The sequence below is a fragment of the Homo sapiens genome, chromosome 2, assembly GCF_000001405.40.
Source record: "Homo sapiens chromosome 2, GRCh38.p14 Primary Assembly".
In the NCBI taxonomy this organism is placed as follows: domain Eukaryota; kingdom Metazoa; phylum Chordata; class Mammalia; order Primates; family Hominidae; genus Homo; species Homo sapiens.
Genome location: NC_000002.12, coordinates 215,620,607 through 215,636,466, shown reverse-complemented (window position 1 = coordinate 215,636,466; position 15,860 = coordinate 215,620,607). Strand labels below are relative to the sequence as shown.

Here is a 15,860-nt window from a genome sequence, read left to right as displayed (position 1 = left end):
TCTGTGGAAGGTGAAATGAGTGGGGAGAGTGGTCAGAAGTGTTATTCTAGCTGAAGTTCTTCCACAGAAACATGAAGAAAGGAGAATAAACATTCCACCCAATACCACCAAATATTAAGCAGGATCCAATTTTCAGTTATCTTTTTGCAAATCCTTCCCTGTCCCCTTCTACATGGATGTAATATCTCCTTGCTGTGAATGTTCATTTTATTTTACTTAAACTTTTCTTTATTCTATTTTCTAATTATAATAATTTATTTTTCTCACTGTCCCCTTTCTTCTTTTCTAAGATCTCCTTAAAATTAGGTGCTATATATTATTATTCATACCTTAATATCCTCAACTATTAACATAGTAATGGAAAAATGGCAAGCCCTCAAAGACTACTTGTAGAATGAGAAATGAGTAAATAAAATGACTCATGAGGAAAAAAAATTGGGGCCAAGATAGTGGACGACAGGCAGCTCTTGTATGCCACTCTCAAGGAGAGGAAACAAATGGGCTAGTGAACACCAATCCTGCAAGCTGAGAAATCATGTTGGGATCTGTCACGGCAGCAGGGGGACACAGAGAGCAGAGAGGAGAGAATCTGGGCACTAGACTGTCTGGGCTCAGTAAGGAGCTAGGAGAATCTGTTAAACATGGGAAAGACTGAGTAAGTGAGAGCCCCTTGGGGGATTCACACTTTCCACAGGGACCTGTGCAAGACTCAGAATGGAAGAATACTCCTGGACCCCCTGAACCCCTCCACCATGCTTCTAGGCTAAGGCAGAGAGTTGCATGTGCAACTCAAGAGTTCAAGGAGACCTCTACAAGCCTTGGGCCCTGGAGCAGACCAGCACTGGTATCACAGCCCCAGTAGAGGCCATATATTTGTGGCACCTGGGAGCAATAAAATTGCTCCACCTCCTTCACCAGATGGGGCTCAGTGCCAGCTTCTGACTCAGTGGTCCTGCTATGGCCTGAACTTGGCCAGCAGCTGCAGTCACCTGTTGTCCCAGAAAGCACCCAGATGGCAGGGCTGGCAACTCCACCCACCCCCTCCACTGGTAACCAGGTGGGCAATGCCTCCTAGAGCTTCCAGTTCAGCAGTCTCACATCTGTCTGAACTTAGCTGGTGGACACAGACTTCTGCTGTTCCAAGTAATACCTGGATGGCAGGATGGGAGACTCCACTCAATTCCACCTCTCATAAGCAGGCAAGGTACATCTGCTAGAGCTTCCAGCCCAGAAGTTTTACTTATGCCTGAATTTGCCAAGGGGTGCAGCCTCCTGTTGTCCCAGAAACAAGCAGACAGCAAGGCAGGAAACTTCACTGACTCCTGTCTCTCATAGCCAGACTGCCCACACCCACCAGAGCTTTTAGTCCAGCAGTCCTGCTTCTACTTGAACTCTGCAGGCAGGTGCAACCTCACATTTCCCGCAGGAGGCACTCAGACACAAATTAGGGCCAGCCTGGCAAGGATACAACCTGTCTGTCAATTGTGACCCCTGCCTGAGGGAGCCCCATGGACCAGAACACCCAACAAAAGAAATGCAGGCATGAAGACAATAATTGGAGGGGCTCCTCCAAGATCCAGGAGCAGACTAGAACCAAATCCAGTCACTTGAACCCACCTTATACCATAATCAAACCCCCAAAGGCATCAAAGAAGATAAAAGCAAAACAAAACACACAAAGCAAACAAACAAAAAAACAACAGGACAGAAACTTCAAAGATTGAAGGAACATCAGCTCACACATATGTGAAAGAACCAGCTCAATAACTCTGGCAACTCAAAAAGCCAGAGTGTCTTATCTCCTTACAAACAAACAACCCCAGCAATGGCTCTTAATCTGGCTGAAATGGCTGAAACATTTGAAACAGAATTCAAAATATGGATAGGAATGAAGATCATTTACATTCAGAAGAAAATTGAAACCCAATGCAAGGAATCTAAGGAATACAATAAAATGATACAGGAGATAAAAGATGAAACGGCCATTTTAAAGAAGAACCAAACTGAAGTGATAGAGCTGAAAAACTCACTTCCAGAATTTTGTAATAAAATCACAAATATTAACAGCAGAATCAACCAAGCTGAAGAAAGAATCTCAGAGCTGAAGACAAATTCTCTGAAATAACTCAAGCAGACAAAAATAGAGAAAAATCAAAAAAGAAGAATGAACAAAACCTCTTAGAAATATGGGTGTATGTAAAGAGACCAAATTTATGACTTATAAGCCTCCTTGAAAGAGAGGGAGAGAAAGGAAGCAACTTGGAAAACATATTTGAAGATATCATTCACAAGAGTTTACCCAATCTTGCTAGAGAGGCCAACATTCAAATTCAGGAAATGCAGAGAACCCTTGTGAAGTAATATACAAGATGACAATCCTCAAAACACAGATATCAGATTATCCATGGTCAAAATAAAAGAAAAAATGTTAAAGACAGCTACAAAGAAAGGGGCAGGTCACCTACAAAGTGAGCCTCACCAGGCTAACAGCAGACCTTTCAGCAGAAACCCTACAAGCCAGAAGAGATTGGGGGCCTATTTTTGGCATTCTTAAAGAACATAAATTTTCACCAAGAATTTCATTTTTAGCCAAACTAATCTTCATAAATGGAGAAGAAATAAGATCCTTTCCAGAAAAACAAATGCTAAGGAAATTTGTTACTAACAGGCCTGTCTTACAATAGGTCCTTGAGGGTGTGCTAAATATGGAAAGACAAGAGTGTTACCAGACACCACAAAAACACACTGAAGTCCATAGACCATTGACACTATAAAACAACCACATAGTCAAGTCTGCATAATAGGCATCTAACTACACAATGACAGCACCAACCTGCACATATCAATATTAACCTTGAATGTAAATGGGTTAAATGTCACAATTAAAAGGCACAGAATGGCAAGTTGGATAAAGAAACAAGACCCAACTATATGCTGTCTACAAGAGACCCATCTCACATGCAGTGACACACATAGGCTCAAAGTAAAGGGATGGAGAAAAATCCACCAAGCAAACAGAAAACAGAAAAAAGCAAGGATTGCTATTCTAATTTCAGACAAAACAGACTTTAAACCAACAACAATAAAAAAAGACAAAGAAGGACATTACATAATGGTAAGGGTTCAATTCAACAAGAAGATCTAACTATCTTAAATACATGTACACCCAACACAGAAGCATCCAGATTCATAAAGCAAGTTCTTAGAGATCTGCAAAAAGACTTAGACAACCACAGAATGATGTGGGAGAAGACAACACCCCATTGATTGTCTTAGACAGATCACTGAAGCAGAAAACTAACAAAGATATTTGGGACCTGAACTCTACATTTGACAAAATGGGCCTAACGGACATCGGACATCTGCAGAACTCTCCACTCAAAAACTACAGAATATACATTCTCATCTGCACATATCATATATTCTAAAATTGACCACACAATCAGCCATAAAACAATTCTCAGCAAATTCAGAAAAACTGTAATCATATCAAACACATTCTTGGACCACAGCACAATAAAAATAGAAATCAATACTAAGAAAATTATTCAAAACCATCCAATTACATGGAAATTAAACAACCTGGTCCTGAATGACATTTGGGTAAACAATGAAATTAAGACAGAAATCAAGAAACTCTTTGAAACTAATGAGAACAAGGATACAACATACCAGAATCTCTGGGACACAGCTAAAGCAGTGTTAAGAGGGAAATTTATAGTGCTAAACACCCATGTAGAAAAGTTAGAAAGATCTCAAATTAACAACCTAATGTCATCTCTAGAAGAACTAGAGAAACAAAAGCAAAACAACCCCAAAGCTAGCAGAAGACGAGAAATAACAAAAATCGCAGCTGAACTGAAGGAAACTGGGACACATACACAAAACATATAAAAGATCAAGGAGTCCAAAAATTGGTTTTTTGAAAGAATAAATAGGATTGATAGACCACTAGCTAGACTAATAAAGAAGAAAAGGGAGATAATCCAAATAAACACAATTAGAAAGACAAAGGGCACTTTCCCACTAACCCCACAGGAATACAAAAAACCCTCAGAGACTACTACAAACGCCTCTGTGCACACAAACTAGAAAACCTAGAAGAAACTGAAAAATTCCTGGAAACATACAACCTCCCAAGACTAAACCAGGAAGAAATTGAATCACTGAACAAATCAATCACAATTTCTGAAGTTGAATCAGTAATCAAAATCTTACCAACCAGAAAAAACCCAGGAGCAAAGGGATTCACAGCTGAATTCTACCAGATGTGTAAAGAAGAGTTGGTACCATTCCTACTAAAACTTTTCCAAAAAATAGAAGAGGAGTGACTCCTCTCCAACTATGAGGCCAGCATCATCATGATACCAAACCTGGTAGAGACAACAACAACAAAAAACTTCAGGCCAATATCCTTGATGAACATAGATGCAAAAGTCCTCAACAAAATACTAACAAGTTGAATCCAGCAACACATCAAAAAGCTAACCCACCGTGATCAAGTAGGCTTTATCCCTGTGATGCAAGCTTGGTTCAACATATGCAAATCAATAAATATGATTCACCGCATAAACAGAACTAAAAACAAAAACCATATGATCATGACCATGATTCAGAAAAGACTTTCAACAAAATTTAACATCACTTCATGTTAAAAACCCTCAATAAACTAGGCATTGAAGGCATCTCATTTCAAAATAATAAGAGCCATCTATGACAAACTCACAGGCAACATCATACTGGGCCTGTGATGTTGGCCTAGTATGAATGGGCAAATGCTGGAAACATTATCCTTGAGAACCAGAACAAGACAAGGATGCTCACTCTCACCACTCCCATTCAACATAGTACTGTAAGTCTTAGACAAAGCAATCAGTCAAGAGAAAGAAATAAAACACATCCAAACAAGAAGAGAGGAAGACAAACTATCTCTGTTTGCATGTAGTATGATTCTATACCTAGAAAACTTCATAGTCTCTTCCCCAAAGCTCCTAGATCTGATAAAAAAAAAAAAACTTCAGCAAAATTTCAGAATACAAAATCAATGTAAAAAAATCAGTAGCATTTCTATACACAAACAATATCAAGCTGACAGCCAAATCAAGAATACTATCCTATTCACAATAGTCACAAAAAGAATAAAATACCTAAGAATACAGCTAAGCAGGGAAGTGAAAAATCTCTACAATGAGAATTATAAAATACTGTTCCAAGAAATCAGAAATGACACAAACATGGAAAAACATTCCATGTCCATGGATAGGAAGAATCAATAATGTTAAAATGGCCATGCTGCCCAAAGCAATTTACAGATTCAATGATATTCCTATCAAACTATCAGTGACATTCTTCACAGAATTAGAAAAAAACTATTTTAAAATTCATATAGAGAACCAAAAAGAGCTTGAATAGTCAAGACAATTCTAAGCAAAAAGAACAAAGCTGGAGGCATCAGTTACGCAACTTTAAACTATACTACAGAGCTATAGTAATCAAAACAGCATAGTACTGGTAGAAAAACAGACACATAGACCAATGAAACAGAATAGAAAACCCAGAAATAAAGCCACACACCTACAACCAACTGATATTTGACAAAGTTGACGCAAACAAGCAATGGGGAAAGGAATCCCTATTCAATCAATGGTGTTGTGATAACTGGCTAGCCATATGCAGAAGATGGAAACTGGATCCCTCCCTTACACCATATACAATAATCAATTCGAAGTGGATTAAAGACTTAAATGTAAAACCTAAAACTATAAAACCCTGGAAGATAACCTAGGATATACCATTCAGGACATAGGCCCTGACAAAGATTTCATGACAAAGACACCAAAAGCAATTGCAACAAAAACAAAAAGTGATAAGTGGGATGTAAGTAAACTAAGAGCTCCTGCACAGCAAAATAAACCATCAGCAGAGTAAACAGACAACGTATAGAATGGGAGAAAATATTTGCAAACTGCATCTGACAAAGGTCTAATATCCAGTATCTATAAGGAACTTAAATTAACTAGCAAAAAACAAAAAACCCCATTAAAAAGTGGGCAAAGGATATGAACAAACACTTTTCAAAAGAAAACATACAGGTGGACAAAAAGCATATGAAAAAATGCCTTAATATCAATGATCTTTAGAGAAAGGCAATCAAAACCACAATGAGATACCATCTCATACCAGTCAAAATGGCCATTATTAAAAAGTCAAAAAATAACAGATGCTGGCAAGGTTGCAGAGAAAAGGGAATACTTATACACTGCTGGTGAGAATGTAAATTAGTTCAGCCATTGTAGAAAGCAGTGTAGCAATTTCTCAAAGAACAAATAACAGAAGTATTATTTGATGCAGCAATCCTATTATTGGGTATATACCCAAATGAATAGAAATTATTCTACCATAAAGACACATGCATGCTTATGTTCATCACAGCACTTTTCACAATAGCAAAGTCATGGAATCAACCTAAATGCCCATCAACAATAGACTGGATAAATAAAATGTCATAAAGGTTGGTGCAAAAGTAATTGTGATTGTTGCCATTTGACAGTAATAGCAAAAACTGCATTTACTTTTGCACCAATCTAATACATATACGCCACAGAATACTACACAGCCATAAAAAAGAACAAGATTATATTCTTTGCAGCAACATGTATGGAGCTGGAGGCCATAATTCTAAGCAAACTAACACAGAAACAGAAAACCAAATACTGTATGTTCTCACTTATAAATGGGAGCTAAACACTGAGTACATATGGACACAAAGAAGGGAACAACAGAGACCAAGGCTTATTCGAGGGTGGAGGGTGGGAGGAGGGAGAGGATCCAAAAACTACCTATTATGTACTACGCTTATTACCTGGGTGATGAAATAATCTGTACACCAAACCCCCAAGACGTGCAATTTACCTATATAACAAACCTGGTCATATACTCCAGAACCTAAAATAAAAGTTAAAACAAAATCTTCCATTCACTGAAATAAAACAGTGCATGTTTAACTGTTTTAAAAATTATATATAATATATAATTTTATATAATATATTTATATATTATTTATATATAAATATTATATATAAATATATAATATAATATATATTATATATTATATATATAATTTTATATCTATATATGGCCTATCTCAAATAAATTCAAGCACAGAATGATTGAATAATTTTGAAAAGAGTAAGCGAAGGCATCATGGGAATTACAGAATACATTTTTGTTGAAAATAGCTAATTGCTTCTCACTGGAGAAGGTGTTAATGACATTACCAGCATTCTGACGTTGTGCACAACCATCATCTCCTAATCTACAAGGCAAGAGTCTGCTCTAGGAGGTGTGCTTAGAACGGAATTCAAGGGTCATCTGAGAGCACCTCCTTGGAGCCTCAGACCAGCCTCTCTAGAGGTTTTAAAACATCTTAAATTACATAAGAAATTAGAATCAGGAAAGTGAATGAATTAAAAGAGGGAATTGGAATTCCTCTGGAAGATTAACTTGAGACTCTTTCTGGGCTATGTTTTGTCAAATTCTTAGTTTAAGAAATAACTATTCTTCTTTACATTTATCCTTAGGCACTATCAAAGAGCATACTGGGAGAAGAGTTTTAAATTAAAAAGTAATTTTTATATTGTTCCCCGACAGAATTATTCCATACTGCATGCCTGTTAAATATTTTTAGAAATTTTAAATACTAGATATGATTCTTATTTTTGTACTTAGGGAAGTATTCTGGTCCAAATAAAGACTCACAATTTATTTTTGTTTTTGTATTATGAAATCATATATACAGATGAACAAAATAAGGAAATAATACTTTCTAATCACACCACCACCAATAGCCACTGTTAATATTTTGATATAGCTTTTTTCTTTTTTTCTATGTGGCCATATGTGTATCTATCTATCTATCTAAATATCTATCTAACTACAAATTCAGAAAAATTATAGAACACGCTCTTTGTTTAATTAACTTTCTATTTTATATTAGTTTAAGATTTATACTTAAAGCTTAAATTTTTTAAGTTGTAAAGATAGTGGAGACTTCCCATATAGACCACATTGTTACAGTATACATTATTACTAACTGAAGTCAATGCTTTCTTTATTCATATTTCTTTACTTTTTACCCTATATTCCTTTTCTGTTCGAGAATCCCATCCAGGATACCACATTACATTTAATTATTGTGTCTTTAGGCTGCTTAGATTATAACTGTTTCTCACGCTTCCTTGTTCTTGATGACTTTGACAGTTTTGAATAATAATGGTTAGTTGTTTTGTAGAATGTCCCTCATTTGAGATGTTTGTTTTTTTCTCATGATTATGCTGGGGTTATGAATATTGGGGAGGAGAACCCCAGAAATGCCATTATCATCCCAACATATCAAGGATACATACTATCAGCATGACTTATTACTGTACATGTCAACCTCGATCATCTGGCTGAGGTAGCTTGTCAGTTCTCTCCACAATGAAGTTACACTTTTCATACTGTGCTTTTTGGAAGGAAGTCACTGTGTAGAGCCCACTGTTAAGAAATGGGAAGTTATGTTCTACTCCTTAAAGTGGGGCAGTATCTACATAAATTATTTGGAATTCTTCTTTACAGATAATTTATATATTTTTTATTCTCTCTCACTTATATATTCAATCACTTATTTGTAACAATATTAACTGATATTTATTCATTATTATGGGTTATAATCCAACACTGTTATTTATCTTTTTGCTCAAATTGTTCCAGGTTTGGCCATTGGGAGCTCTTCAGTTGGCTGCTGTGTCCCTTTGACATGCCCCATTGTTGTGGGTTTTCTTGAGCAAGTTTTACTTTCTGGCACTTACAAGATGCTTCAGACTTACATTCTCCCTGCCTGACCTGAGATCAGCCATTTCTCCAAGGAGCTCTGGATTCTTTTATTGGAGAATGGTATTAGAAATCAATATCTGGGCACTGAGTGGGCTCATTGGTACTTGAATTTGTTGCTTTGAGGCTCTCTCAGCTAACAGAGCAAGAAAACATGTATGTGGTGTACACTAACTGGTGTATGCAAACATGTCTATAATTATTTCTTCCTATACATTCATTTGTATCTATATTAAACTAAATATGAGTTCATGCTGATATCTCCAACTCTAATCCAGTACATGAATCATTCTAGACTTATTTTCTTGCTTCTCTGTAAACTCCTACTCCAATAGTGAGAAACCTAGTTTCCACCATCTGCCATTTATTTACTTAATTGTTCAATTCTAGGATGCACATATGGTGGTTTCAGAATTGTTAACCCCTATTCTCATGGGCAATAATTTTACCAATTAGAGTACAGTGCTTATGTACAGTTTTACTTTCCACTCATTCCAAAAAGTTATTTAGTTTGGCACTTTTACCCCCACTCTCTTCAGTGAGGTCGTTTTATATATTTCTAACGGAAATTCCTTTGTCATAGTCTGCATTCCAACCCGGGATCCCCTGGACTCTTAAATGACTTTTGAAAATTCACACGCTTTAAGTTTCACTCTTTGTGCTGTAAAGTTCTATAAATGTTGACAAATGCAGTGTTAAGTATTTACCATTGCAATATCATACAGAAGAGTTTCACCACCCAAAAAATAGCTTCCCTTGCTTCACCTATTCGACCATCTCTCTTCTAAACCCCTGGCAACCATGGATCTGTTTGACGTCTCTGCAGTTTTTGTTTGTTTTGTTTTTACCCAGAATGTCATAAAAATTGGATCATACGGTATCCAAACTTTTCAGATTGGCTTATTTCACTTTGAAATATGCATTTAAGATTTACCCATATTTTTGCATGGCTTGATAGCTCATTCCTTTTTATTGCTAAATATTATTCCATTATATGTATGTGTCATAATTTATTGATCCACTCACCTATTAAAAGACATATTAGTTGCTTCTAGGCAATTATAAATAAAGCTGCTACAAATATTTTTGCATGTGGATTTTTCATGTGCATGCACATATTGTGCACATGGACATATATTTTCACATCAATTGGGTAAATAATTGAGAGCCTGATTGTTGGATCATATGGTAAGACTAAGTTTTGCTTTACTGCTAAGCTGTCTTCTAAAGTGGCTATATCATTTTGCATTCCCATCAGAAATGAATGAGAGTTCCTGTTGCTTAGCTTCCTTGCCAGCAATTTGTATTATCAGTGCTTTGGATTTTGGCTATTCGAATAGATGTGTACTGGCATCTCATTGTTGTATTAATTTGCATTTCACTAGTCACAAGTGATGTTAAGCATCTTTTCATATGTTTATTTTCCATCAGTATTTTTTTTGTGATGTATCTGTTCAGATGCTTTGCTCATTTTAAAATTGGGTTTTAGTTTCTCATGGAGTTTTTTTGACTTTTTTTTGTATTTTGGATAGAAGTTCTTTATCCAATATATGATTTGCAAATATTTTGTCATTTTACCCTCTTTGTAGTGTCTTTCATAGCATGACTCTCAATTTGCTTTTTTTTTCTGAACAATGTCATTCCATTTTTTCATATTATTCTATAAAATCACTTTTTAAAGACTGTAAATTATTCTATTATAGGACTGTACCATATAATGTGTTACTGTTGGACAAATATTTAGATGGCTTCCTGTTTTTCCTTTCTTTCAAGAAGAAAACAAAACAGTGATGGATATACTTGTAACTAAATATTCTCTTAAGTATTCACTTGAAATAAAATTCTTTAAGTGAAACTTCCATATCCAAAGGTATCACCTTTTAAAGACTTTTGCTAGAACAAATTCTCTTTTTCCTTGATCTGCCATGCTTACAAATTATTTCATTCCCTCTTTAGGTCAGAGTCAGAGGTAGGCCACAAGTGCATTTTGAAATATCAGATGCTTTGATACCTACTGTGTTAAACACACATAAAGCTGAGACATCAGAAGTATTCGGCCTCAAGTGAAAGCTGGATTCTAACCTTTATAAGAGTGACACCTCCCCATTTGTTTCAGTTTGCACTCTAAACCTTAATTTAGGCCTCCTCTAGAAAACCTGTGTACCAATCTGCCCATCCCCCAGTGGCTCAAAGTGAAGGTGTGTAAACAAGCTGGATGCTGTATGTCCAGTTATTCGGATTGCAGAGTTATCTGGGGTTCCAGGGAAACTGGTAGCAGCCCCATGGTGCCACCATTGCCTCCCCTCCTGTCTCAGCCTGGGTTAAGTCCCTCCACTGCATTCCTGTGCCATTTGATCTTAGACTTACTTTTTTGTTTAAATTTTTAATTAATTATTTTTTTCATTATACTTTAAGCTCTGGGGTACATGTGCACAACGTGCAGGTTTGTTACATAGGTATACACGTGCCATGTTGGTCTGCTGCACCCATTAACTTGTCACTTACATTAGGTATTTCTCCTAATGCTATCCCTCCCCCAGCCCTTTTTAATGTTTCTGCCTCTATGAGATTTTGAATATCTTAAACTGAGCTACCTAAAAATGTCATTTTTTTCATTTAAAATATATAATCAATGAAAACAAATGTTTTTGAAAATCCACCACATTGCCTGTTCCAAAACAGAGTTGGGCATCTCTCTCTGGGAGTAAAAGAATCACCCAGGTTTCTGCTCTGTTTTTATGCACCCAGTGTAGTCTGTAAATTCATACCCAGACCGAGCAGTGGAGAGAGTAAGCTGTAGCAGGCATTGGACTCACTGGCCTAGTGCTTACTTTAGCTTTGTAGACTTGGTTTTGTGCTGCCAGATGCTGCTGCTAACCTTTGGCTTACAGTAGTTTTGACAAACATGGAGGCTGTTAGTCAAAGGAACTCTGTCTCCCTAAGAATGTGTTGCGACACATTTAATTCAGAGCCACGTCAGTTGCAACAGATCTTGTGCTTTAACAAGTACCTTGGATCCTTGAGAGAATAAACTAGTCATGGCTTTACAGGCCTTTTAGGGAAAGCTACTGCTGCGCTCCGTGCTCTCTGGCGCTTGGGAATGCACAGCAGTGCTGGATGCCAAGAATATAAACAGCCAGAACGATATGTTCAGCATTTAGGAAATACAGCTGGACCCAGCAAATGTATATGACAGATAGACTCTGGGGCCAAAGAAATTTCCTCTGCACATTTTACCCACTTAAGTAATGTTAAACTGAAGGTCCTAGTATATCGCCCCATCATGACAGGTCTTTGAATATATGCTAATTAAAGGGCATGTCTATTCACTTCATTTGTGTCTCCTGTGTCTTTCTCTAGAGTTGTTTTAAGGCAGAGTATCATATCGCATCAAAACCGCTCCATAAGTCCTGCCACTCCACGTGCAATGCCATGAACTTGAAGAAACTGCTGGTAAGAGAAAGCAAATGCTGTGACCAGGCAAGTAAGTGTTGTCAAAGTGTTGTAAAACTACCCTGAACTTTTGGATCCAGAGTACTTTCCTTCCTTCCCCCTCCCTCGTCCTCTCTTTTCTTTGAGTATAAGTGGCCACAGCAACACATTTCCAAAGCTTAAACTTAGAACTTTTATCTGGGAAGTTTGTTTGGACAGTATTCAAATATAAGTGATAAAAATATACAAAGGCTGGCCAGGTGCGGTGGCTCACACCTGTAATCCCAGCACTTGGGAGGCCGAGGCAGGCAGATCATGAGGTCAGGAGTTCGAGACGAGCCTGGCCAATATGGTAAAACCCCGTCTCTACTAAAAATACAAAAAAATTAGCCCGGCATGGTGGCAGGCACCTGTAATCCCAGCTACTCGGGAGGCTGAGGCAGGAGCATCAGTCAAACCTAGGAGGCGGAGGTTGCAGTGAGCCGAGATTGCAACACTGCACTCTAGCCTGGGTGACAGAGCAAGACTGCATCTCAAAAAAAAAAGAAAAAAAAAAAGAATATACAAAGCCTATTTATGATTTTTAAAATTTGAATTCAAGGAAAGTATTGTTGCTTCTCTTAAAAGTTTTCGCTTAAGAACATGTTTTCATCTTCATTTTCCCTCATTCATCCTGAGGCCTTCAGCCCTCCCATAGCAAGAGAATATAAAAGAGGTGGGACAGAAAGAGTGAACAGGGCATCCCAACAAAGATGCGTTTTCCATTTTCCTCTGTATCTTGCAGCCTCTGTTACTACTGGGAGAGAGAGGAAGCTAATCAAAAGTGGAATGAATTTGTACTGTTTATAGGGCCTCCTCTTTCCCACACCCTTTACATACCTCACCTTACTTAATTCCATGACAATATAGTGAAGTCTATATTTTTATTCCGATATTACAGACACGTATACTAAAGGGCTCAGAGAGTAAGTAACCTGTTCAGAGTCACAGAGCTATAGCCGGGATTGGAGCCCAGGGCTGTGTGATTGTATAGAGCACCTTACGTGGTCCCTACCTACATTATGCTGAGTCCTTTTGCCTGCAATTAGGCTGAACTGCTGACAAGTCAGCTGGAAATCGTGGTTACAGCTGTAGGCCATAATCACAGGCAAACAATAATAAACAAAACATCTTCTGGGAGCTGAATTTGCAAAAACCTATGAAGTTATGGCAACTGCAGCCCTGAAGACAAGGCCCAGGTAGTACCCAGGCAGATTCAGAGAGAGCTGATGGAGAATAGGTATGAGTCTCCTACCTGGCCATTACTGTTTGGGTAGAACTTCCCTTCTCCCTCCTTCTGAAAACAAAAAACAAACAAACAAAAAAAAAAACTTGAACTCCACACAGGTTTTTTCTATTGCAGCTGCTGCAAACCAATGGGCTTTGGGGAACTGTGCTTCCCTTCAGAAAGGAAAGAGTATTTAACGATGAAAAGGAAGGTAAGAAAGAGGGATTTATGTGCCAGAAAATTTACATCATCTTTAGATGAAGGAGGGCTTGAAGGAAACATCCCAGCATGTAAAAGAGAAATGAGAAATGAGTACTTTTTAAAAAGTATCTATGTTCAACATTTCACAGGCATTGCTAAATCCCTTATTTTAAAAAATTATTTTTTCCCTCATATTAGCAATGTCACAATAGTCTCTATCACTGGAATTACACTGTATCATGCAAGGGGGTGGCAGAGGAAAGCACAGGCAGTGATGGATATACAGATCAACATAATGTGATGTGGCATCCCTTCTCAACCGCAAATACAATTACCTCCAGGGTGGCAGAACAGCCAAACTGCTTCAGTAGATTACTAGGATATTGCCTTGCTGCTCTAAATCCTAAGTCTATTTTCTGGGTTTCTATATATTTGTGGGGAAATGAATTTCCAGTTAAATCTTTGTTATTATCTCCCTAGAGCCAAAAATTGTGGGTGGGGCAAAGACTTATATTCAAAACAAATTTTATTCCTTGACGCTATCACTATCTTTCTTCCAAGGCCTCTTTGTCCAAGTACAATTCATTAACCACCATTTATGGAATACCGCCAATGCATCAGTCACTGTGCTAGACATTAGGGATAGAGACAAACAACACACTCCATGCCCTCCAGGAGCCCATGTTTAGTAGAGAAGAAGGACAACTGAACAAATAGTCACTACATAAAAGTTCACTGGTCAAGGTTTATACAAAGTATGATGAGCATACCTGGTATGTATGAGTATCTTCCAAGCAGGGAAAATTTCTTATGTTTTCTGTTGCAAAACAAATTTCCTCTGTTAAAAAAAAAAAATAAGTTGGCATCATTCAAATCGTCAACCCAAATTAACTGGTCTCTAAGTTATTGATGCCCTGTAGCTAGAAAGTCTTTAATTCTGTTACTGAAATCTACTGAAACATAGCCAAGTCTAATATCATACAACCCAAAGGGGAAATATCACATTTATCTAGATATGTAATTGAAAAAAATCTGTATACTTAGAAACTATGATATTTTCACTGCTTAACAATTTGGGGAAATCACATCAGGCCACATATTTAGAAGGTATCCCATGGCAACCATGAGAAGTTACTTTGGTCTCACATAGCTGAACATAAAAATGAATCCTGGCTTATCAGATGTCTGGAAGAAGGGGCAGCAAAAGTTATATCTCCTTTGAATTATTAAATTAAGTTCCTCTCTGGGTCTCCACGAGCTCTGGTGAAGCAAGAAAATGCATGTCCTACTCTTGGTCCCATGGATGTAGTAGACGTTCTTCATGCTTGATTTTTTTTTTTTTAAGGATTGTGTCTTACTTATACTTACGGGCTTGTGGTTCAGCGGAGACCACACTGGACTGGACTGAACAGACAACTGAAGGGCTCTCTCTACCTTTCAGCATCTCTGTCTGCCTTTCTGACTACCTAAAAATTACTGCAACCTCTGATTCTGTTTCTAAGGTGGATTTTCCCTACTCATGCTTCCTAGAGATTTGGTGAGGATTTGTTGAGTCATGGGACATTTCAGCTTGCCAAGGTAAGGCTTCATTTTGGCTTTGTATGGCCCTTCTGGGATCACTGATGTCCCTGGGCCAGGTTCATTTGTATCTGAAGGAGGGAGGAGTTAGTTTGGAGGCACAGTCTAAGAGGAGAGAAGTGGAGGGTGAAGAGGAGGGGACAGCAACTGATCTCTTTATGGCATCTTATACAGAGTTGGCACCTTGGCAATTAGGATATCGGGGACCAAAAGCTGATGCACCACTTTAACAAGATACTTTGTAAATGTAGGGCAGGGTGGAGGTCAGAAACACAGGCAGGACTTCCAAAGGCTGTGGGCACTGTCCCTGTGAGGCTCAAGTGACAAGGTGGGAGACAGGATTGGGTGGAGGCCACAGTTCTTCCATGTTGAAGAACTCTCTAGCATCCTGAAGACTGCCTACCTAGAGACCAACCCAGCGATGCTGGTGCTTTCTTGGTAGACTCCTTGGAGAGGCAGTCGTGAGGAGTCTTTGTGGTCAGTGGACAACTGGGGACTGGAACATGGGGAA

The 15,860-nt window shown here is 37.9% G+C and overlaps 2 long non-coding RNA genes across 5 annotated transcripts in view, besides 1 other annotated feature; one reads left to right on the top strand and one right to left on the bottom strand.

Moving 5' to 3' along the window:
* The window catches only part of LOC102724861 (uncharacterized), a 168,179-nt gene that overhangs the window by 77,920 nt on the left and 74,399 nt on the right, over positions 1–15,860 (bottom strand). For all 4 annotated transcript variants that reach the window (NR_187737.1, NR_187736.1, NR_187735.1 and 1 more), the window contains exon 2: positions 14,542–14,609. This is a non-coding gene — a long non-coding RNA (uncharacterized LOC102724861). The remainder of the gene's footprint in view (positions 1–14,541; positions 14,610–15,860) is intronic.
* LINC00607 (long intergenic non-protein coding RNA 607) overlaps positions 1–15,860 on the top strand; it is a 231,974-nt gene that overhangs the window by 207,070 nt on the left and 9,044 nt on the right. Inside the window, exons 6-8 of the long non-coding RNA NR_037195.1 lie at positions 12,232–12,355; positions 13,706–13,781; positions 15,117–15,349. This is a non-coding gene — a long non-coding RNA (long intergenic non-protein coding RNA 607). The remainder of the gene's footprint in view (positions 1–12,231; positions 12,356–13,705; positions 13,782–15,116; positions 15,350–15,860) is intronic.
* Positions 9,288–9,789: an enhancer, noted in NCBI's record as "NANOG hESC enhancer chr2:216491401-216491902 (GRCh37/hg19 assembly coordinates)". NCBI's record gives its function as "activates a minimal SCP1, AML or CMV promoter by ChIP-STARR-seq in naive H9 embryonic stem cells {active_cell/tissue: H9 hESC(naive)}" and the evidence as "EXISTENCE:reporter gene assay evidence [ECO:0000049][PMID:30033119]".